Consider the following 21535-nt stretch of genomic DNA (forward strand, 5'->3'; position numbering starts at 1 on the left):
TCTTTCCTTCACTCATGTACAAATGATGACTGAACACAGCTCAATGCCTGACACAAGGCCCAATGTGGGGCGGGGGATAGGAGGTTGCCCCGGGAGCTGTAGGGGACAGAAAGCCAGTCTGCCGAGGGTGGTAAAGAAAACTCTGCAGAGGAGAATGCTTTGAGGTGGGACCTGAGCTGCAAGGAGGGGTCCAGCACCTTAGGGGACAGCACAGGAATGGTCCCTGATATGGTGTAGACGTGTGTCCCCTCCAAGTCTCATGTTGAAGTATGACCTCCAGTGTTGGAGGTGGGCCTAGTGGGAGGTATTTGGGTCATGGGGCTGATTCTTTATGAATGGCCTGGTGCCATCCCTGTGGCAATAAGTGAGTTCTCACTCTGGTAGTTCACATGAGGGCTGGTTGTTTAAAAGAGTATGAGATCTCCTCCTTTTTCTCTCTCTCTCTCTCTGTCTGTTACTTTCTTGCCATGGGACACATATGCTCCCATTTGCCTTCTGCCATGATTGTAAACTTCCTGAGGCCTCCCCAGAAGCCAAGCAGATGTTAGTGCTATGCTTGTACAGCCCGCAGAACTTTGAGCCAAAATAAACCTCTTTTCCTTATAAATGACCCAGTCTCAGGTATTCCTTTATAGCAATTTGCATGGACTAACACAGTCCTCCAATGGGTGCAGTAGTATCCCATTAAGAACTTGCTCTTTACTTGGGTCAGGGGAGTCACAACATGGCATTTAGGGTAGAAGACATGATGCAGCCTGTGATTCTGACTGGCTAGCCTGGTGGCTAGAGCGAGATAGGGACTGGAAGGGGGAGACTGGAGCAGAGAAAAAGCAAAGATGCAAAAGGCATAAGCCAGGTGAGAGATGTGGGCCGAACACAGGTTGGAGGAGTTGGAGACCAGGCAGGGCAATGTGTTAGCTCAGGGGCCCCAGCTAACCACACCTTCCAGTTCTTGCATCTTATGTAATCCCCTCCCTCGAATCTAGGCTGCCCTATGAGCTGCTTTAATTGACAGAAGGTAGCAGAAGTGACTCTGGACCAATTCTGGGTCTAAGTCCTAAGAAAACTTGGCAGCTTCTGCTTTTCCCTGTCGTCAGGGAAAGCACCCCCTTGTAAACAGTGGAATTGTCCTGAGACTGTTGTGCTGCAAGAACCCCAACCTAGCAATGTGGAGAGGCCAAATGGAGAACTGAGGTCCAAGCCAGCAACCACACTGACTTCCAGCTGTGTGAGTGAGGCTGTCCTGGAAGTGGATTCTCCAAGTGATACCATGTGGAGCAGAGAGAAGCTGTCCCCACCAAGCCATGGCCACACTGCAGAACAGTGAGCAAATAAAATGTGTTTTGTTTTTAGCATGGTACTGGTATAAAAATAGGCATATAGACGATTGGAACAGAATAGAGAACCCAAAAATAAAGCCAAATACTTACAGTCAATTGATCTTCAACAAAACAAACAAAACATAAAAGTAGGGAAAGAACACCCTATTCAACAAATGGTGCTGTGATAATTGGTAAGCCACACATAGAAGAATGAAACTGGATCCTCATCTCTCAACTTATATAAAAATCAACTTGGCTGGGCGCGGTGGCTCACGCCTGTAATCCCAGCACTTTGGGAGGCCAACGTGGGCAGATCATCTGAGGTCAAGAGTTCGAGACCAGCTTTGCTAACATGGTGAAACCGCATCTCTACTAAATATACAAAAATTAGCCAGGCATGGTGGTGGTCATCTGTATTCCCAGCTACTTGGGAGGCTGAGGCAGGAGAATTGCTTGAACCCAGGAGGCGGAGGTTTCAGTGAGCCAAGATTGCACCACTGCACTCCAACCTGGGAGGCAGAGTGAGACTCCATTGCAAAAAAAAAAAAAAAAAAAAAAAAATCAACTCAAGATGGATCAAAGACTTAAACCTAAGACCTGAAACTGTAAAAATTCTAGAAGATAACATTGGAAAAACCCTTTTAGACATTGGCTTAGGCAAAGACTTCATGACCAAAAACCCAAAAGCAAATGCAACAAAAACAAAGATAAATAGATGGGACTTAATTAAACTAAAATGCTTCTGTATAGCAAAAGAAACAATCAGCAGAGCAAACAGACAACCCACAGAGTGGGAGAAAATCTTTGTGATCTTTACATCTGACAAAGGACTAACATCCAGAATCTAAAAAGAACTCAAACAAATCAACAAGAAGAAAACAAACAATCCCATCAAAAAATGGGCTAAGGACACGAACAAACAATTCTCAAAAGAAGATATACAAATGGCCAACAAGCATATAGAAAAATGCTCAACATCACTAATGATCAGGGAAATGCAAATCAAAACCACAACGCGATACCACCTTACTCTCACAAGAATGGCCATAATAAAAAAATAAAAATAAAATAGATGTTGGCGTGGATGTGGTGAAAAGCAAACACCTCTACACTGCTGGTGGGAATGGAAACTAATACAAAACCACTATGGAAAACAGTGTGGGGATTCCTTAAAGAACTAAAAGTAAAACTACCATTTGATTCAACAATCCCACTACTGGCTATCTACCCAGAGGAAAGTAAGTCATTATATGAAAAAGATACTTGCACACGCATGTTTATAGCAGCGCAATTCGCTATTACAAAAATATAGAACCAGCCCAAATTCCCATAAATCAAAGAGTGGATAAAGAAAATGTAGTATATAAATACCATGGAATACTTCTTAGCCACAAAAAGGAACGAAATAATGGCATTTGCAGCAACTTAGATGGGACTGGAGACCATTATTCTAAGTGAAGTAACTCAGGAATGGAAAAGCAAACATCGTATGTTCTCACTCATAATTGGGAGCTAAGTTATGGGATGCAAAGGCATAAGAATGATACAATGGACTTTGGGGAATTGGGGGAAAGGGTGGCAGGAGGCTGAGGGATAAAAGACTACACATTGGGTACAATTTGCACTGCTGAGGTGATGGGTGCACCAAAATCTCAGAAATCACCACTAAAGGACTTATTCATGTAATAAACACCACATGTTCCCCCAAAACCTATTGAAATACATTTTTTTAAAAAAGGAAAATATGTGTTGTTTTAAGTCATTAAACTTTGGAGTAGTCTGTTAGGCAGTTACAGATAGCTGAAACATAGGAAGTGATGCAAAATCCTTATGGCTAGCACTGCCTGGCCCTGACAATGTGCCAGGCTAAGAGCTTGACATGTGCACGTTCACTTAGAATTCAGAGCAATCCTATGCATTCGATGTCATCATTATTTCCACTTGCAAGAGGAGGGCACCGAAGTACAGAGAAGTGAGGGCACCGAAGTACAGAGAAGTGAAGTCATTTGCACAAGGTCACAACAGCTAATTAGTGGTTAAGCTCAGATTGGAACCCAGCCCATCTTGCTTTCTAGCCTGTGATCTTAACAATTCTATGATAAATGTTTTTTGGGGAAAAGGAATGGGACTCGATGGTGAATAAGATGGCCTGTGGGACAAAGGCACACATAACTGTAGTTGAGACTTCCAGTTAAAAAAGACAAGCCCTGTGGAGTGCTGGATTGAGACCGCGGGTTATTGCTCCTAGCTTTTCAGAATAATGTCTGTCTCCTGCCAGCCCTGGCCTCTGGTAGAGGGAGCTTGTTGAAGAAGGGCGTGATGTAGACACTTTGTAGACAGCTTATCACAAAACATACCTTTGATTGGCACTAGTAACTCACGGGCATTATTTTGTTTAATTTTCACAATAGCCTGTAAGGGTGATATGTCATCAGATCCAATCTACAGGTGAGGATATGGACACCCGCCCAGGTTATGCGAGCTCTCAAGATCACACAGCTGGTGGGTAGAGGGTAGAGCCTGTCCTCCAATCTGGGCAGTCTGAACACTGCTGGTCACCTTCTTAACAACCACTCACTGACTTCTGCCTCTTGGTGGTGAGGGTCTCATCTGGGCCTGCGTCCCTGCCCCCACCCCCTTCTCCCATCATATTTCTGATCTATATTAGGAGTTTGGCTAAAATTCAGTGTGCACACACACTGTATGTCCACATAACACAGACCCACAGACATTGGAATTGGAAGGTTCTCTTTTAACACAACCTCCTCATTTTTCACAAGCAATTTTTTTTCTTTTTTTATTATACTTTAAGTTCTAGGGTACATGTGCACAACATGCAGGTTTGTTACGTATGTATACATGTGTCATGTTGGTGTGCTGCACCCATTAACTCTTCATTTACATTAGGTATATCTCCTAATGCTATCCCTCCCCCAACCCCCCACCCCATGACAGGCCCCAGTGTGTGATGTTCCCCTTCCTGTGTCCAAGTGTTCTCTTTGTTCAATTCCCACCTATGAGTGAGAACATGCAGTGTTTGGTTTTTTTGTCCTTGTGATAGTTTGCTGAGAATGATGGTTTCCAGCTTCATCCATGTCCCTACAAAGGACATGAACTTATCCTTTTTTATGGCTGCATAGTATTCCATGGTGTATATGTTCACGAGCAATCTCTTGAGGGCCTACTTTGCGCCAGGCACTGTAAGGTGAGTTAGTGACAAGTTGGGCCTGTCCTTATTGAACTCCAGTTTTTGCTCTGAAACAAATAGATATACAGAAGTGATAAGCAGAAATGAGGCTTCTTACACCCTCTCAAAATGTTTTATGCACTTTTAGCACAGTGCATGGAAGCCAACTGCTTTGCCTTCTGATATCTAGTTCAATCTCTGGCCAGACATATTAACAAGAACCCCTGTCCCCGTACTGACCCTCATCAACAGCATTGCTGTTGCTATTCATTTTGCAGACTCATTGTTCTGTTGTTTTTTTTTTTTTTTTTAACTAAGTATATGATTCTGGGGAAGGTGGGTATTACTCTTTTTCTGTTTGAAGCAAGCCCCATACATCTTTTTCTAGAGAAAAAGCTCTAGATCCCATAAGGACTGGTATTCTTTTTTCTTTCTGTTGATGAGACTTGTCTCATTTCTCTTTTTCCTTTGGCTTCCAGGAAGCTCAAGAAAAATTTAAAGCCTGGCTTTGGCAAATATGTAGGTCCTAACAGTCTTCATATTTGTGTTGTGGTTCATGATTTTGAGTTGCTACTTTTATTTGCATTTTCTCAGGCTCTCAATTATTTTGAACTATTGTGGTATCACTATTTTATTCTAAGTCTTCTCAATAGAGGCCATTTCAAATCCTGTGTGGAATAACAAAGGAGTAAACCAGAAGTCAGTAAACTTTCTCTAAGGGGCAGATAGTAAACATATTTAAGCTTTGAGGGCCATACAGTCTCTTTAGCAACTACTCAGCTCCACCATTGTGGTGTGAAATCAACCATCGACACTACGTAAATGAATGAGTGTGGTTGTGTTCCAATAAAACTTTATGTACAATAGCAGGTGGCAAGCCAGATCTGGCCTGTGGACTGTACTTTACAGTGTTTTAAAAGAATTTTAGAGCATCTGGGAAGTAATTTCCTCTTAAGTCGGGAAGTACTTGGCTTAGAAAAAAAAGGAATGGATGGGAATTCTCTCCAAGATGTCTAGTCTCCACTTCCAGGTGACAGATTGTGGAAAAGCAGCTGTGAAAGCTGTCTGGGCAGTTTGGTTCAGGAGAGGAGAGGGCCGTGCCCAGGAGGGGTCAGTCCCTGACAGAGCAAGCTGTGAGGTCTGCCAGTGAGAGTGCATTCTCTGGCACACTGGCAGTGCCCACTCCTTGGAGGGGGAGGCAGTAGGGGCAGAGCTCTAGAAGTGCCGGCCAGCCAGGTTCCCCAGCTCGGGCCAATGGGCCTTCAGCTGCCACGGATGCTGTTCATGGAAGGAATGTGTCTGCAGCTCCAAATTCCCACAGAGAAAGACAAGGGGAATCGTTGGGGAGAAATTCCTGGGCCACATTTTTCTTGCTGTTCATGTGGCCTGAAGCCATTGAACTTGGCCAGCCTGCCCAGGGAGGGATTTACAAAGCCCATTGTCCTTTCCCTGAAGCCTCACCCCCACCCTGCCCCCACCTGCTCTTTCCAACTTTCTTTCCTCCCCCACCCCCAGGAGAAATGCAGCATGGGAAAGAGCAGGAGGCCATGGGGCCAAGAGGGCTCTCTGTCCTTGCCATATGGACAAACACAGCAGAAGCTCCCAAAGGGGACAGGTACTTCCCAGCAGCTGTGATGACATCAGACCCTACCATGCACTCAGGGTGGGAGGCGGTCTCGGTTACCTGAGCAGGAATCACTTAGTGGCATACACGCCACTTACTGTATGCCAAGCACTGTTCTGAGCATTCTGCATAAATTAACTCATTAATCCCTGCAAGAACCCTATCATAATCTCCATTTTACAGATGGGGAAACTAAGGCTTGAAGTGGTTAAGTGATTTATGTGGGTTCCAAATAGTAAGCGGAAAAGTCAGAATTAGAACTGAGGTGTCTGCCTCCAGGGTGATCCTTACTTTCTTACTTCTCACTTTTACTATGTGTGACCCCTCAGCTTAGCATTCTATTTACAGATATCACCTTAATGGTCTGCAGTTATAGGAAAAATTCATTTTACAAAGCATTTGCAGTCAGTCCTGCACACCTTTTAAGGCTCCCAGCACCCCCATGCTATAGAACATGAGACCCTGTATATGAACTAGGCCCATCTGGTGTCTGGTCCACTTAGCTGGGGCATAGTACTGTGCACACTGGGAGTTAACTAGTGCTCCTTGCACTGTTGCTGCTGTGGCTGCTGCTGACACTGTAAGGAGGGACCTCAGTTACCTAGAATGTGTCAGATCCTGGGTTTGTGTTTTCACTGAATCATAAGTCATTGACACAACAACCCTGAGAATGATGTTGATAACCTCCTTTTACAGATAAGGAAACCGGGCACATCAATCAGGTAATTCATGCTTGCTGCTCTAACAGCTCCCAAATCTCAGTGGCTTAATCCCCTAAAGACTCTTCTTGCTCAGGTCACTGGCTCCTGCAGGTCAGCATGAAAAGGGAAGAGGGAGTGGGGCTGCTCCATGTGGTCACTCAGGGACCCAGGCTCCTTCTAGGACCTCAGTGTCCTCCTCTGAATCCTCTGCTGTGAGATGCAGGGAGAGGGGGCAGGGAGTTTCTCAAGGGATTTTAGGAGCTGGTGCTGACAGCAGCCTCAGAAGCCTCAGAGGTCACCTGTCACTCCTACCTGTGTTTCCTTGACCAGGGTTTAGTCATGTGACCCTGTCTTACTGCAGGGAGGATGGGAGGCGGAGTCAATCTTTGCAGCTGCAAGAGAAGCAGAGGCTTTGGCTGCCACACCGGTCCAGAGGGGTGAGGTGCTGTAAGGGACAGTCAGAACTTTTGGCACCCAAGCTGGTGCGTTGCCACCACACTGCTTTGACTGAAACTGACGCCAAAGCTATCTGAATTGAATTCCAACTTCTACCATCTTGAAAGACTCTCAGTTCATGTGGACAACGAATGGGGTAGAAGGCCCTGAGGGTTGTCAGCATTGGCTGTGATATGAAAAAAAGAGAATGGCACATGGCAAATGCCCGACACCCTTCCCTTTCTCAGTGGAGCTGTGGCCAGGTGTGCTCACAGGTGGAGGGGCGGGAATTGGGAGAGTTTCTGCCCTGAGGAAAGGGGAGCATGGGCGCTTGCTGTGGCCACCTAGCTGTGGAAGGAGAAAGGCGCAGGATGGGGCCCGGCAGAGGCTGGCCTGGGTCCTGTTCAAAGCATAGATAGATGTTGGGGTGGGGAAGGTCCCTTGTTCCTCGGGGTTTTGCTGCAGAAACTGCAATTCTTCGAGGGTGTTCTGCCTTCTGAGAATACCTCCACACTCTGCTCAGTCTTGAGGGGGAGGTCTCTGCCAGACGAGGGCACTGGGTTGCCCCAGGATGATGGGCACAGGGTGGTATCTTCCAAGCTGGCCTTGGTGTTGCCAATGAGAGGACAGCTGTATAGAAATAGGGGGTTGAGCCTGTGGAGCTGCCAGCAGGGGAAGGAAAGGGCTGCCAAGTCTCTGCAGGATCAGGCAGGGGACCTTCATGCTAGAGGACAAAGTTTGCAAGCTCTTGTGCCCTCGCCACTATTTTCCGGGCTGAGTTGGCCTCAGATGGCCAGGTCAGACCCAGCTCTACTGTTGCATAGCTCAGAAGACCACTGTCCCCCCACCTGCTAGTTACTCAGTACCAAGTTGGCTCACTCAACCTCCAGTGCCTCTGTTTCCCCACTTCCTACAGCCAGGCCTCAATCCACCCAACAGACCTCCTGTAAACCAAACCTCAAAAAACATTTTTCAGACTATGGACACCAGTTCATTAGAGGGGTCATGAAATCAATTCTGTGGGCTTTGTCTGGAATTTTTAAGAAGGAGATAGACTCACATAGGACAGAACATGCCAGAAGGCACTGCATGTAGGAACAGCGGTGTTTCCTGAAGCCTCAGCTTCTGTTGCCCTGGGCTCCCAGGGGGCAATGTAATGTCTATTTCTTGTCAAAAAAGTGTGAAAACACTGTGTTGGTGTATTTGTCTCATTCCTTTCAGAAAACCTGGGCTCTTTGTGCAAATTAGTCCACAAATTTCTTTTCCTCCCCAAGCTCTCTCAACCAATCACCCCTCTTCTGCAGGCCAAAGAAGGGCACAATCTTTGCCAGGCCACTCAATAAAAAAAAAACCCCATCACCAAGGGCTGCAAAAATTCCTGTTATACAGGAATCCCAGGAGGCCGGCTGCTTTCTAGCCTTGCATTTGCATATCTAAGAGGGCCACTTAAGTGACCCTTCACAGGACAAAGAAGGTTAGCTTCTCTTAATTTTTAAAAAATGAAAAGAAAGAAATCCTTCTGGTTTCCACATTCCTTCAGGGCAGCCCTTGCGGGGTGGCTGGTCTTGCAGCTCTGCTCTGGTGCATCAGCCAGAGGGTCCTCTGCTTCTCCAGCGTTATTCCTGCCACCAGGATTTGTGGAGCCCTGCTCTGTGCCAGACATGGAAGACTGTGGACCAGAGCCCCTTCCTGGAGCCCTCTCCTCATCCTCGGGCTGTGTACATGTGATGAGGATAAGTGGCTCACATCCCTCTCCAGCCTCACTATGGGTGTGTTGCTCCTGTCCCCACATGCTCCAGCTCTGCCCCCAAGCCCATCAGGGGAGGCCTGGTTCTCCAGGATGCTGGAATTCTCAGTCTTTCCTATGCTGACTTGACGGGAGGTTCTCATGTTTATTGAGCATCTGCTGTGTGCCAGGCACTGCTGTATTCCAAAATGTCTGCCAAGGGCCTGCAAAGGTCATTACTGTCACCATCCAGTGAAACTCAGGAAGATGAGGTGACTTTTCAAGGTGGCGCACACAGGGGGGAAGCAGCAGGTCCTCTCCTCGGTCTCTTGGATGCCTGCAGCTCTGTTCTTCCCACCTGACCGCAGGCCTCCGGGAGCGGCACCGGAAGTCCCAGGGGCAGTGCCTCGGGCCAAGTAAATGATACAGCATGGCTGGAGCAGCATGCTGCATGGATGGAGGTGCTAGGCAGAGAGGGGGTGCAGGAAGATGGGAGACCCGCCAGGAGTGGACAGCAGGAACAGGAGCTTGGTCTTCCGGCCCCTGAGAGTGTGGACTGGATTCCAAGACTAGTGAGCATGGGCCCTGCTGCGGAGGGCCAGTGGCCCTGGCAGTGTCACTCCCAATGCCACAATGGTATGAGTTTTCCATAGGGATGCCATAACTAACTCCCACAAACTGGGTGGCTTAAAACAACAGAAACTTCTTTGGTTAGAGTTCTGGAGGCCAGAAGTCCAGGATCGCGGTGGAGCTCTAAAGGCTTGAGGGAGGAATCCTTCCTTGCCTCTTCCAGCTGCTGGTGACTTCCAGGTTCCCTAGAAACCCTTGGCTTGTAGACCCATCCCCCAGCTTCTGCTTCTGTCTTCACATGACCTTCCTCCCTCTGTGTCTCTGTGCATCCTGTCTGTCCTCTCCTCTGCTTCTAAGGACACCAACCATTGGATTTGGGGCCGCTCTAATTCAGGATTACCTCCTCTTAGCTCATTGCATCTGCATGAATTCTGGGGGACACTATTCAACTCAAGACAACAACTTCCCTTCTTTCCTAACCTTGGCCTCCCAAACTCTGTCCCCTCAATCTCAAGTCAACAGAAAAGCATCAGGGAGAGCTATGTTCTTGGAACCCACGAAGGCAACGGACTAGCAGAAGACTCTCCAGACCTGGTGTTTTTCAGTAATTGTAATTCCAGTTTTTGGGATTCTGGTATTCCAGAATAATGTGCTTTTGAGAAATGCTGAACTATTAGTATTTTTGTGACATGTTTTTTAAAAATTAGAACCATTTACACCTGGGAATGCACTACAGTAGGCGTTTGGATCCAGTAAAGGAAAGCTTGTTTAGAAAGCAGTTTTCTATTCTTCCACAACCCAGAAGGAGGGGAACTACGCTGCCTCCATCATGATAGAAATCTTCACTCTGCTTCAGAGACTTTCCAGCCTGGAATTTGCTCCAGGTGACACACTGGCATCTCCACCTACCCATATTAACACTGGAGAAGATGACCACAAACCAGGAATGCTTTCTCTGAAATAAAACTAAAGCTCATGATCAAATAAAAAAATGTAGTTCCTGCCAACAAAAAAGAAGGGAGGTTAAAATAAAAGATATCTTCTAAAGTGGGGAAGAAGAAATGGAATTACTTGAAGATGAAAAACTCAAAGGATAATATTGGAAATTAGTTTGAAATTTAGCTTGGAACGTCTCACCATTGCCTTGACCAGCCTAGAGTAAACAAAAGGTTTCAGCAGCCGGAAAAAATGGGCACAAAAATATGCTCATGATCCAGATAACATCAAATAGTAGATTTTCATTCCAAATATTATTAGAAGTTTCTTTATCTTGTAGGGTTTAGTTCATTACTTTTGAATAATATTTTATTCATGTCATCTGCTAACAATTAGTATGAGAAGGGTAACATTTTTTTTTTTTTTTTTTGAGACGGAGTCTCGCTCTGTCGCCCAGGCTGGAGTGCAGTGGCGCGATCTCGGCTCACTGCAAGCTCCGCCTCCCGGGTTCACGCCATTCTCCTGCCTCAGCCTCCCAAGTAGCTGGGACTACAGGCGCCCGCCACTACGCCCGGCTAATTTTTTGTATTTTTAGTAGAGACGGGGTTTCACCGTTTTAGCCGGGATGGTCTCGATCTCCTGACCTCGTGATCCGCCCGCCTCGGCCTCCCAAAGTGCTGGGATTACAGGCGTGAGCCACCACGCCCGGCCAACATTTTTAACATTTATATTTCACAGATTTTTGTTTTCACTTAATGCTTCTAATATTTACTTTTTATTTGAAATGTCTAATATTTTAGCTGAATTTTAAAATGTTAGGCATTCTGAATACCTTTCCATAGAAAATATTGATAATCAGTGTTGGTATTTTAGCAATGTAGGGAATAAATACTTGTATTCCTTCATGTTGTTTTTCTCTGGTACTGCAATTATAATGCTGTGCTAATTAGCTATTGTTAAATAGCTGTAAATTAATTTAAATACATTGACTTATAATAAATTTTTTAATTTAAACTAATTTATAGCCTTTACCAATAACTAACCATGTGCCAAGCAACACGTTTAACATCCTACATGGAACTACTTTTGTCACGGCCATTTTTCAAATAAGGAGCCTGAAGTTTACAGGGTTCTGTGACTCGCTCTGGACCTCAGATCTGGGGAGAGGCTGAGCCGTGATTGAAACTCAGACAGTAAGACTGAGCACCTCACCCTTAACCATGACCCCACAGGACAAATAATTAAGAGTGTCAAATAAGTCAGCCAATACATAATAACCATCATTTTCTAGCCATCTTTGCTTTTGAGTTTATTATGTGCACTAGTACACACAGACTCTAACCCCATAGAGATCAGGCAGGTAAGATAAACTGAAAAAGCAGCTTTTGCTCTTGCTGCCCAGGCTGGAGTGCAATGGCACAATCTCGGCTCATCACAACCTCCACCTCCAGGGTTCATTCTCCTGCCTCAGCCTCCCGAGTAGCTGGGATTACAGGCATGCGCCACTGTGCCTGGCTAATTTTGTATTTTTAGTAGAGACGGGGTTTCTCCATGTTGGTCAGGCTGGTCTCGAACTCCTGACCTCAAGTGATCCTCCCGCCTTGGCCTCCCAAAGTCCTGGGATTATAGGTGTGAGCCACCATGCCCTGCCAGCTCCTGTCAATTCTTTATATGGAGGAAGCAGGCCCAAATTTACCCTATAGAAATCTATATATTTTTAGTGGGTAAAATCCTGTGCATTGAAAATATTGCATGAGCCAAACAAAATATGTCTGTGAGCCAGAATCAGCCCATGGGTAGTCAGCCCTGGCTTGCAGCTCAGTTTGCAGCCTGAGAACTAGACTCCATTTCTTGTTATTGTTGCCTCTCCCAACCATGACTTTTAGCATTCTTTCTGCTTTTGGATGATTGCTCCTTCATTGGTTTAATTTATCACGCACTTTTAAAGAACCAGGCACCTTAAAAGCAGCGCTTTGGAGCAAAACAACATCAAGGCTACTCAACCCCGGACTAGGAGTTCTTGAGGGAGGGGATCACATCTCAGGATCTCCTAGTCCAGGGTTGGGTAGGCTTGATGTTGTTTTGCTTGAAAGTGCTGCTTCTCCAATTTTAAGATGCACACAGAGCACCCAGGACAAACTGCAAGAACACAGATTCTGTTTGAGGTGGCATGGGTGGGGCCCCAGGGTCTGTATTTCCACCAAGCTCCCAGGTGATGCTGATGCAGCTGGCCCATGGACCACACGTGCATAGGAAGAACCTACTCTGGGGAGCAGCCTATGTCTCAGAGGGTTCCTGAGCTGACAGTTGGAGGAGGCTCTGTACTTGGGTTTGGTTTCTCAGAGGTGACCTGGGTCATTCAACCCCCACCTACTAATCCCCTGCCACATTCCTCCCCACATCCTAATTTATCTAGGGATTTAGTCTAGCTGAGATCACTCATAAAGAATTTTATCTACATCTTTGTTCTGCGCTGGCACAAGCATACCTCCTCCTGCGCATCACCCCTTCCTGCCCGGTGCGCTATCACCATCTGAGGGACTTCTGTGCACATCCTTCTGTGTCTCTGTGTCACAGAACCGTGGTGCCCAGCACCAGCCTGATCTTCTTGAGCCTCCTGCTAAGAGCATGACCCTGCTGAGAGTCAGCCTGGAGTCTAGATCCATGCAGCTAGCCCGCTGCAGGACAGGCGGCATCCTGGAGCCCCCAAAGGCAATGGAAGTGTCCCCCTGTGTAGAACAGGCTGTGGGGTCAGGCAGGCAGGCAGAGTGTCACACTAAAGAGAGAGGCTGGGCCAGTGCACTGGAGTATAGACCATGTTATGCACCCAGGAAGCCAAGCTGGTCCAGGCAGGCAGTCCTATTGGTGGGACACTAAAGGCACCTTCCAGTTGGCATCATTCAAGAGATGTGGCTGAAGTTTGATCACCTAATTGGGACCCTGGCCTCGATCTGCAAGGATGAAGGTGCAGGCCACCCTCCAAGGGTGACATTACCTATTGAGCTCCATGGGGGGAGTTCAGTTAAAGGCCCCTTTGCCGTATTGGATCAGGAAGAGCCACCTGTGAAGTGTATGCTGGAGCCTTGCTATCAGCAGGTTGGACAGGAGAAGGCTGTAGGGCAGGGGCCGGGTGCTGGAGGGAAGAGCATGGCACGAGAATGTGGTGGGAGCTGTGCATGCCCAGCCCTTGGAGAAGCCACTTTCCCTCTCTGGATGTCAAGTTTATGAATGAGATGAGGACCATGATAAGATGTGCACCAAACTCACTCAGGACTTGAGCTCTGAGGGCCAGTGCATTTGCAGGAAGAGACCAGCAAGGAATGTTCGAAGGTTGTACCCACAGGATGGAGCCCAGCAGGTCAGAACAGAGGGCCACTTCCTGCATTTAAATTCAGAAACTCATTGTCAGGGCCAGTTTCATGGCCTTTAACTAGGGCATGTGCTCAGTGACACCCTTGCCTCTTGAAGGGCTCTGCATTTAGAATTGAATGCTCTGTGGTTAGTGTCTTGAAATTCTTAATCATTCTATCTTTAAATTTGTGTTTTTTAAGTGAAGTCGAGTGGGCCAGTGGAGCGTATGCTGAGGGCTGGGGCCCTTCTGCAGTCCTGCCTCCTGCTGCCTCTGCCTCCGCCTCCTGTGAGTGGGTTTTCCTGGCTCCCTCCTGCCTCCTGATTCCCAGGCCTCTGCCCCGCCTCTCCTGGCCCTGCCCAGTGGCTATTGCTGTCTTCCCCTCATGCCCAGTGGAGGCCTGACCACAGGCATGAGGAGGGCTGGGGTTGGGGTCAGGCACCCCAGAGTGTTTTGGGGTGGAGTATGCTCAGGGTCGGCAGTGCCAGTGCCACAGGGTGGGTATCTTTGTGGGGATGGGTCTGTTGCCCATCCCCAATCCAGGTGCCTAGTGCATGGCAGAGTGGAGGCTGAACACCCTTGGGGGTGGCCTGTCCACTGCAGGTGGGGTAGCAGGCTGTCGGAAGAGGAGCTGCCTGGCTGGACTTCCTTGCCCAGGTTGGTGTCTGTATGTAGAAAGGAAGGCTCCATAGGAGAGCTGGGGAGGCTGAGCCCAGGAGTCATCTCCCTATTGGTGCCCATTTTCAGTACACCCTCAGCAGAGCAGCACGGTCCTAGTGACTGGTGGGAGAGGGACCTGGCTGCTGGTGGGCATGTATGGAGCAACTTGGGGGCCCCTGGGTGTCTGTGAGGGTCTGTTCTCACCCCTTGAGTATCCATGTGCCCAAGGGGACACACCAGCTAAATATCAACTAAAAAACATGGTGCAGGGGCTAGCCCTAGGCCCGCACAGAGATGTGCAGCCCTTCACATCCATTTGTGTGGCCATTGAGCCCCGCAGAGTCCTCCTTCCATCACAGTGGAGAAGCTCAGAGCTGCAGGGAAGCGGGGTGGCCTCCAGGCTCCTCACTGCCTTGGGGACAGCCCTCCTGAGCACAGTGCCCAGAATCAAACACAGTCCAGGGACATCTCTCTGCATCCCAGATTCACACCACCCTGAGCACAGCCTCAGGGCCCCTGCTTCTGGGGTGGCTCACCCACTCTGCTCAGGACCAGCTAGAGAATTTTTGGGGACTCAAGGCAAAAATAAACATGTCCTGTATTTAAAAAAAGGAAAAAAAGTGCCATTAAAGGGATTAAGTATAAAGTTTTTTTTCTTTTTTCTGCTGTCTCTTGACCTGTCAGTGAGTAGTTCTCAGACCAGCAGCACCAGTATTGTCCAGAGTTCATTAGAAATGCAGATTCCTTGACTCACTCCAGGCCTCTGGAGCCAGGGAAGGGCCAGCAGCCTGGGGGATTCTGATGCACCAGGAAATTTGAGAAGCACAGCTGTAAAGCGATGATTATTAGATTTTTTGTTTGTTTTAAAGCAACACAACTAAAAAATTAAAATCTCATTGGAAGCTTGTTTGTCTATGACAGATAAAAGAAGAACTGAAAAAAAAAGAGAGAGGCTGGGCGTGGTGGCTCATGTCTGTAATCCCAGCACTTTGAGAGGCCAAGGTGGGCCGATTGCCTGAGGTCAGGAGTTCGAGACCAGTCTGGCCAACATGGTGAAACCCCGTCTCTACTAAAAATACAAAGAAATTAGCCGGACATGGTGGTGTGCACCTGTAATCCCAGCTACTTGGGAGGCTGAGGCAGGGAATTGCTTGAACCAGGGAGGTGGAGGTTGCAGTGAGCCAAGATCGTGCCACTGCACTCCGGCCTGGGTGACAGAACAAGACTCCGTCAAAAAAAAAAAAGAGAAAGGACTGGGTGGGGTCAGGGGAGAAACTGTCCTGCCGTCTGCATATCGTACTTCACATGATGATTACAGCTGTCTTGCCAAGTAGGCAGTTTCCCTTCTACGATCAGATGATGAAAATGAAGCCCATGGGATTTAAGTTATTGGTCCAGGTTCTTTTATTGAGCAAATGGCAGAGCTCAAATGTGAATCTAGCTCTGTCTTACTCCAAGTCTGAGGCTCCCACCCCCTCCCCATCCCTGCCGTTCTTTCTTTGTTCATCCTTCCTTCTTTCTCTTTCTCCCCTTGCTTCTTTCATTTTTGCCTGTAGAGCACCTGTTCTATGCTGGTGTTCTCATCTAGGCCTGTGCTGTCCAATACGGTGCCACCACACATGTGGGTCCTGAGCATGTGAATGAAGCAGGTGTGCCTGAGCAATGGAATTGTCAATTTAATTTAATTTACATTAGTTTAAAAACTGACATTCAGTTCCATTGCTGAAAAACATTTAAGTATGTTTGGAATAACTTGGGTATGTGACTCTACTTTTCAATCATACATTTTATGAAATCTAAATGCCGATCAAAGATGGCTATAGTTAATTAATATATTACATAATTTCAAATAGGAGGACAGTGAATGCTCGCAACACAAATAAATGGTAAATGCTTGAGATGGTGGATATGCTAATCACCCTAATCTGATCACTGTACAATATATGTATCAAAACATCACTATGTACCCCATGAATATGTACAATTATTATGTGTCAATTTAAAAAATTAAAAAATTAGAATAAGTAAATATATATCAAGTACTTCCAGTGAAAATTTAGTGTCTGCATGGAAATGTGCTTTAAGTGTAAATACCAATTTAGACTTGGAAGCAAAAAAGAATGTGGAATATTTCACTAATGTTTATTTTGATTACATATTGAAATGATAGTATTTTGGAGCCAGTAGTTTAAATAAAAATACATTATTAAGAACAATTTCACTAGCTTTCTTTCCTTTTAGTTTTAAAAAAATTTTAAATTTTTAGTCCTTGTGAGTGTGTAGTAGGTGTATATATTTATGCAGATATTTTCACATGTGTACTCACTAGAAAATTTACAACCACAAACATGGCTTGCATTACATCTCTATAGAAGAGCGCTGCTCTAGGACACGATTTTGGCCAAAGGAATGATCCTGCTCAAGGGGACTCTTTCCAGGGAGCCTGCAGGAGTTTCCCACACCTGGTCCTGTGCTGAGCTGAGAGAAGTGAGGCTAAGACAGGAGAACCCCACTGCAAAGCCAGGAAGTGTAAGAGCCACTCCCATCTCAGGGGTGGGGATCACTGGCAAACTTCTCATCTAATTTCATTTCTGTCATTACCCATCATCTGGCGCTCTGCAGACAACCTCAGCAGGGGCTGCACGAGGTCAGGCCAAGACTCAGGCTGGCTGGTACCAGGTGCCGAGATAGGCCGGTATCAGCATCCTCCCCACTCAGGCGGCGGCTAATGTGATCAGGGATGCTCTGGGCATGTCAGACACACAGTATCTGTCTCCTCTGCGGAGTAATCTGTGCACACTGGCTCTCCTTCAAGGTCAGGCCTCCCTTTAAGACAGCAGGCAGCAGTCTCCTATCTGCTCCAAGGGCAGGCTGGATAAGGCCAGGCAGCTACAAGCTCCATGCCTGAGGGCGACTTCAATGACCTTGTGTAGCCATAAGACGGGCAGGAACTGGCTCCCTCTGGACAAACTTGGCTATAGAATGCCAGCTGGTGCCATTCTACTCGTTCAAGCAGACACGTCGGAGGTCACTGGGCCAGCCCTCTCGTCTTACACAGGGGGAAACTGAGATTCAGAGAAGGGAAGAAATCTAATCTGGTTGCCCTTGAGAGCTAGGGTCTGAGCTGAGTCTGGAAGCCACTTAAACAGGCCCCCAAGGCAGAGATGTTGTTAGTGATCAGGACTCCCTGGCTTGATCCTGGAGAACTTGACACATAAACTTGTAAATGCACGAAAGACTCAGGGCTCTGCTTTAAGCAGCCTGGCTTCTGCGCTGCCTCCCACAGGGGTCCCCGCTACTCCTGTGGCAGTGTGGTCTTTTCTGTCGACATTGCCAGGGTAGGGGTGGGGGCACAGAATAGACATTGGTGGAGATGAGCATCAGACATTACAGTTCTTGTAAGCCCCTCAGTTGGTCTACCCTGAGTGATCTTTCTAACACATAGTTTTTGTTTTATTTTTAAGGATTCAAATGTACTTTACTTTTTCCATAATGCCATATTTTAATGGGCACATGGAGCTTTTACTTGGCATCAATTATGATTTGTGTTTTAAACAATTCAGTATGACACCAGCTGGGATGATTACTGATCTCTCCATTCCGTTAGGGGTGACCCTGGCAACAGGGCACAGATTCCATCCAATTCCAATTGGTGTTGCAACATAGGTCCATACGGGCAGTAGAGAAAGAGGCTCCGCTAGCTAACATGGCATTACCATACCTGTCATGAAAATCATGTGTACATTTCTGGTGGCTCTGCCTTTCCATTGTTTGCTGAATGCTTTGAACTCTGAGGTTACTTACTGTGCCGTTGGCCAAGGGAAATCCTGAAGCTAAAGATAAAAGTGTCTCAGTCAGGGACACCTCTATCAGAGCACTCATCACACAGCATTGTGATGGGATTGGGTTGCTGTTATTAATCATAACGATTAATGATTAGAGAGCATGCAGGGAGGAGGGGAGCTTATCTAGACCAGGTACCTACTATGAGCCAGGATCTGGGTTCTCAGTGAATCCTCACCACAACCCAAGGTGCTTGGCAATATTCTCACCCCCAGTTTATGGGACATTGAGGCACGGAGCCCTCTGTGACTTGTCAAAACCCACACAGTCCCTGAGTAGCATGGCTATGCTCACATCCAGCTCTCCCTGACTCTGGCCTGGAGAGATGGGTGGTCTGGAACAGCACTGACTAGATGCTGTGAGGCCCTTGATGTCTGTTGAGAGTGTGTGGAAAATGGGCACAAACAGGAAGATGGCTCCCAGGCTTGCCTCCCCAGCTCTTCCTCGGAAGCTTCCTTTCTACATGCAGACACCAGCTTGCCTAGGCAACATCTGCATCCGCGTGTGGTGTGTCTGGCGACAATCAACCCCATGGCCCTGATTCCCATGGGACACAATGCTAGCTTTGCTACTACCATGGTCTCTGAAGACTGGTTGGAGCTGAAAACCCAAGACCTCAAAGCCATCCCTGTCCAGGCCTCCTATTGCCTGCAGGATTCCCATCTGGTGTTTGGGGAGTTGGGGGGGAGGCCCCAAGGAGCCCAGTGGGAGGGAAGGAGCATGGACCTCTGTGGGAGAGCAGAGAGCTTGCCAGGCCTCTGAATGGTACAGCTGGCCCCCGAGTCTCCTGACCCTGATCTTGAGAAATATGGGGCTCCCAGCCCAAAGCAGACAGGTGCTCCAGGATGGGGACTAGACCCAGGCCTCAGAGCAGCTGTGGTACCCTTCACCTCCTTCTGCACCAGAAAACAGAGCACTCTCCTCCTCCTCCTTTTCCTCAGATCCAGGGTGGCCATTCACGTCTTCCTCGGGCTAATCCTCAGCACTGCACACTCAGGTCCTTCCCCACAAGTAGGAATTGCTCCTGAGTGTGGGGGGCCATCGGCTCGGTGCAATGTTGTTGAAAAGGCATCCCGTCCTGGCCCCTTGTCTGGCACTTGGAAAGGGCAAGGCCAATGATGTGACACTCAGCCCTGCAGAAATACAGTCATGGACCATCTGGAGCAGTGAACATTTGACAGAGACTGGCTGTTTGTCTTCTACTCTCCCCTCTGGAAGGCACCCAAGTTCCTTTGGAGTCTCCTTGCCCCCACTAGGCGAAGTCTTGGGAGGGCTGGTCCAGATGCCAGAGTGGATAGGCCCTTCCTCACCACCCCAGTGTAGTCAGGGGTAGGCATGTAGCTTAAGCACAGATACTGAGACTTTGGGCTTTCGGCAAGTGAGCCATGCCGGGATTGCAGAGCCAGGCGAGATTCAACCTTCCCAGCACAGAGTACCACCCGCTCGCCCCTCCCAGCTCCTGGCCCCGTGACAGCCCAGCCGCTTGCCCCTTCCACAAGTGTCACTCCCATCACATCCTACCCCCTGGTTTCTGGTGAATTTCCCCTTTGCTAGAGTTAGCCAGAGCTGGCTTCTGCAACCTGCTCCAACCAGGACTCTTAATCTCCACTCCCCCGGCCCCACCCCATTTACGGTTACTCACTAGAAAGACTTATGGTTCTGGTCTCAAGCCTGCAGCCAACCCACTTGGTTCCCTTTGATAGCACCAACCCACTTGGTTCCCTTCAATAGCATTGTGCTAATTCCAGAAGACGGATTTTAGCAATGAGTTACAAAGCTTAACGGATGACCTAATTCATCTCACCAAACATGGCCGTTTTTTGGGGACAGGCCTGCTCTGGGATCTTAGCAACTCTTTTTGCCCAGAGTGCCAAAGCAGGCCTCTCCACTCCCCACCCGCTCCTTGTGGATTTAAAGGGAGGCCTAAACTTGGCCTGGGGCTGGATGCCCACATCAGCAAAAAGCCCAGGTCTGAGAGGCCCCCAGGATCAAGTCTGCAAGGAGCAGACAGCTTTCAAAGGGCTGGGAGGGGCAGGGTTTGCCAGGCAGCTGCCCTGGCAAGACAGAAGTACCAGGTGGGCAGGACCTGGGGGTCCTTGAGTCTCAGTCCCTTTGTGGGGCCTGGCTCCTTCATGCCTGCCCCGGGGGAGCTAGCCTCAGCAGGCTGAGGAAGAGCAGGGCTCTGGGGTTAGAGCTGGCTCAAGCTGCAGTTCCACCGCTCACCGGCCCTCGGATCCCAGCAAGTTACTTAGCTTGTCAGAGTCCCAGGGGCCTTGCCTGTTAGATGGGTTAGTAGAGGTTAGTCCCAGGAGTGTGGTGAGGATAAACGTGGTGTGCTCAGCTTCATTCCTTAGAAGGAACTCAGTGAATGTTTAGCCCACTAGCACTCATACACACCTTGGTCTACAACCTCAGGCACTCAACAAATATGATATTTGTTAGAAAGAATCATGTTAATTCTATCTCCAAGCCCTATGTTCCCAGGCTGGAAGGGAGCTGAGTCCCAGCTACTATTGAGATGGAGGGAAGGGGTCCTCTTTGCTGTGGTCAGGCTTACATGGGGCCTGGCAATGGGATGGGCTGTTCTTGGTCCCTCCTGGTCACCTGATGTCTTTACCTGCAGTCACTTGGGGCTGGAAGCTAGGTAGCTCTCCTGCCTTTCTTGACCATGGTGTGTCTGTCTGAGGCGGGACCCTGGTGTCTGGAGCCTGCTTTCCTGGTGGCACCATGCCTATCACCTTCCTGGGGCATTGCTGGGGGCAGGGTGACCAGTCTAGGGGAACGCCTCTTTCCCGACCCTGTCCACATCAATTATCTGGGGTGGGAGAGCAGGAGATTTCTGCTTTCTGCTGCAGAGACCTCACCTTCCCCTGAGGCAAGTGGCCTAGGGATTAAAAAGGGCCAGGAGATCAAAGCACAAACCAGCATCTTATACATTATACGGTCCTCCTCCTCTTGGAATAATAATTATTAGAATTAAAACATTGGTTATAGCTTTGCCTGCCCCCAATTAACTCAAACCTCCTCTCACTCAGTCCGCTTGTGAGGCCCATCTCATTCACCCTTCCAGGATTCTAAGTCCCCCACTATCTCTACACCAGGGGCAGCCTCTCCACCTTGGACCCTGAGCCCACTCAGCAGTGTTTTTTGCAAGCCCTCCAGATGAGGCGGAGGCTCACTAA

At 48.1% G+C, this 21535-nt stretch overlaps 1 protein-coding gene across 25 annotated transcripts in view, besides 2 other annotated features; it reads right to left on the reverse strand.

The window, feature by feature from the left end:
* ARHGAP22 (Rho GTPase activating protein 22) overlaps positions 1-21535 on the reverse strand; it is a 226435-nt gene that overhangs the window by 98548 nt on the left and 106352 nt on the right. Inside the window, exon 5 of one of the 25 annotated variants that reach the window (XM_024448102.2) lies at positions 4110-4577. The exons of the other annotated variants lie outside the window; for them this stretch is intronic. Coding sequence (XP_024303870.1) covers positions 4504-4577 — 74 coding nt within the window. The 3' untranslated portion in view covers positions 4110-4503. Of the gene's footprint in view, positions 1-4109; positions 4578-21535 lie in introns of those variants that run through there. 25 annotated transcript variants of the gene reach the window in all.
* Positions 5177-5717: an enhancer, noted in NCBI's record as "NANOG-H3K4me1 hESC enhancer chr10:49741600-49742140 (GRCh37/hg19 assembly coordinates)". NCBI's record gives its function as "activates a minimal SCP1, AML or CMV promoter by ChIP-STARR-seq in naive H9 embryonic stem cells {active_cell/tissue: H9 hESC(naive)}" and the evidence as "EXISTENCE:reporter gene assay evidence [ECO:0000049][PMID:30033119]".
* Positions 14576-15361: an enhancer, noted in NCBI's record as "H3K4me1 hESC enhancer chr10:49750999-49751784 (GRCh37/hg19 assembly coordinates)". NCBI's record gives its function as "activates a minimal SCP1, AML or CMV promoter by ChIP-STARR-seq in naive H9 embryonic stem cells {active_cell/tissue: H9 hESC(naive)}" and the evidence as "EXISTENCE:reporter gene assay evidence [ECO:0000049][PMID:30033119]".

The sequence above is a fragment of the Homo sapiens genome, chromosome 10 (assembly GCF_000001405.40).
Source record: "Homo sapiens chromosome 10, GRCh38.p14 Primary Assembly".
Classification (NCBI taxonomy): Eukaryota; Metazoa; Chordata; class Mammalia; order Primates; family Hominidae; genus Homo; species Homo sapiens.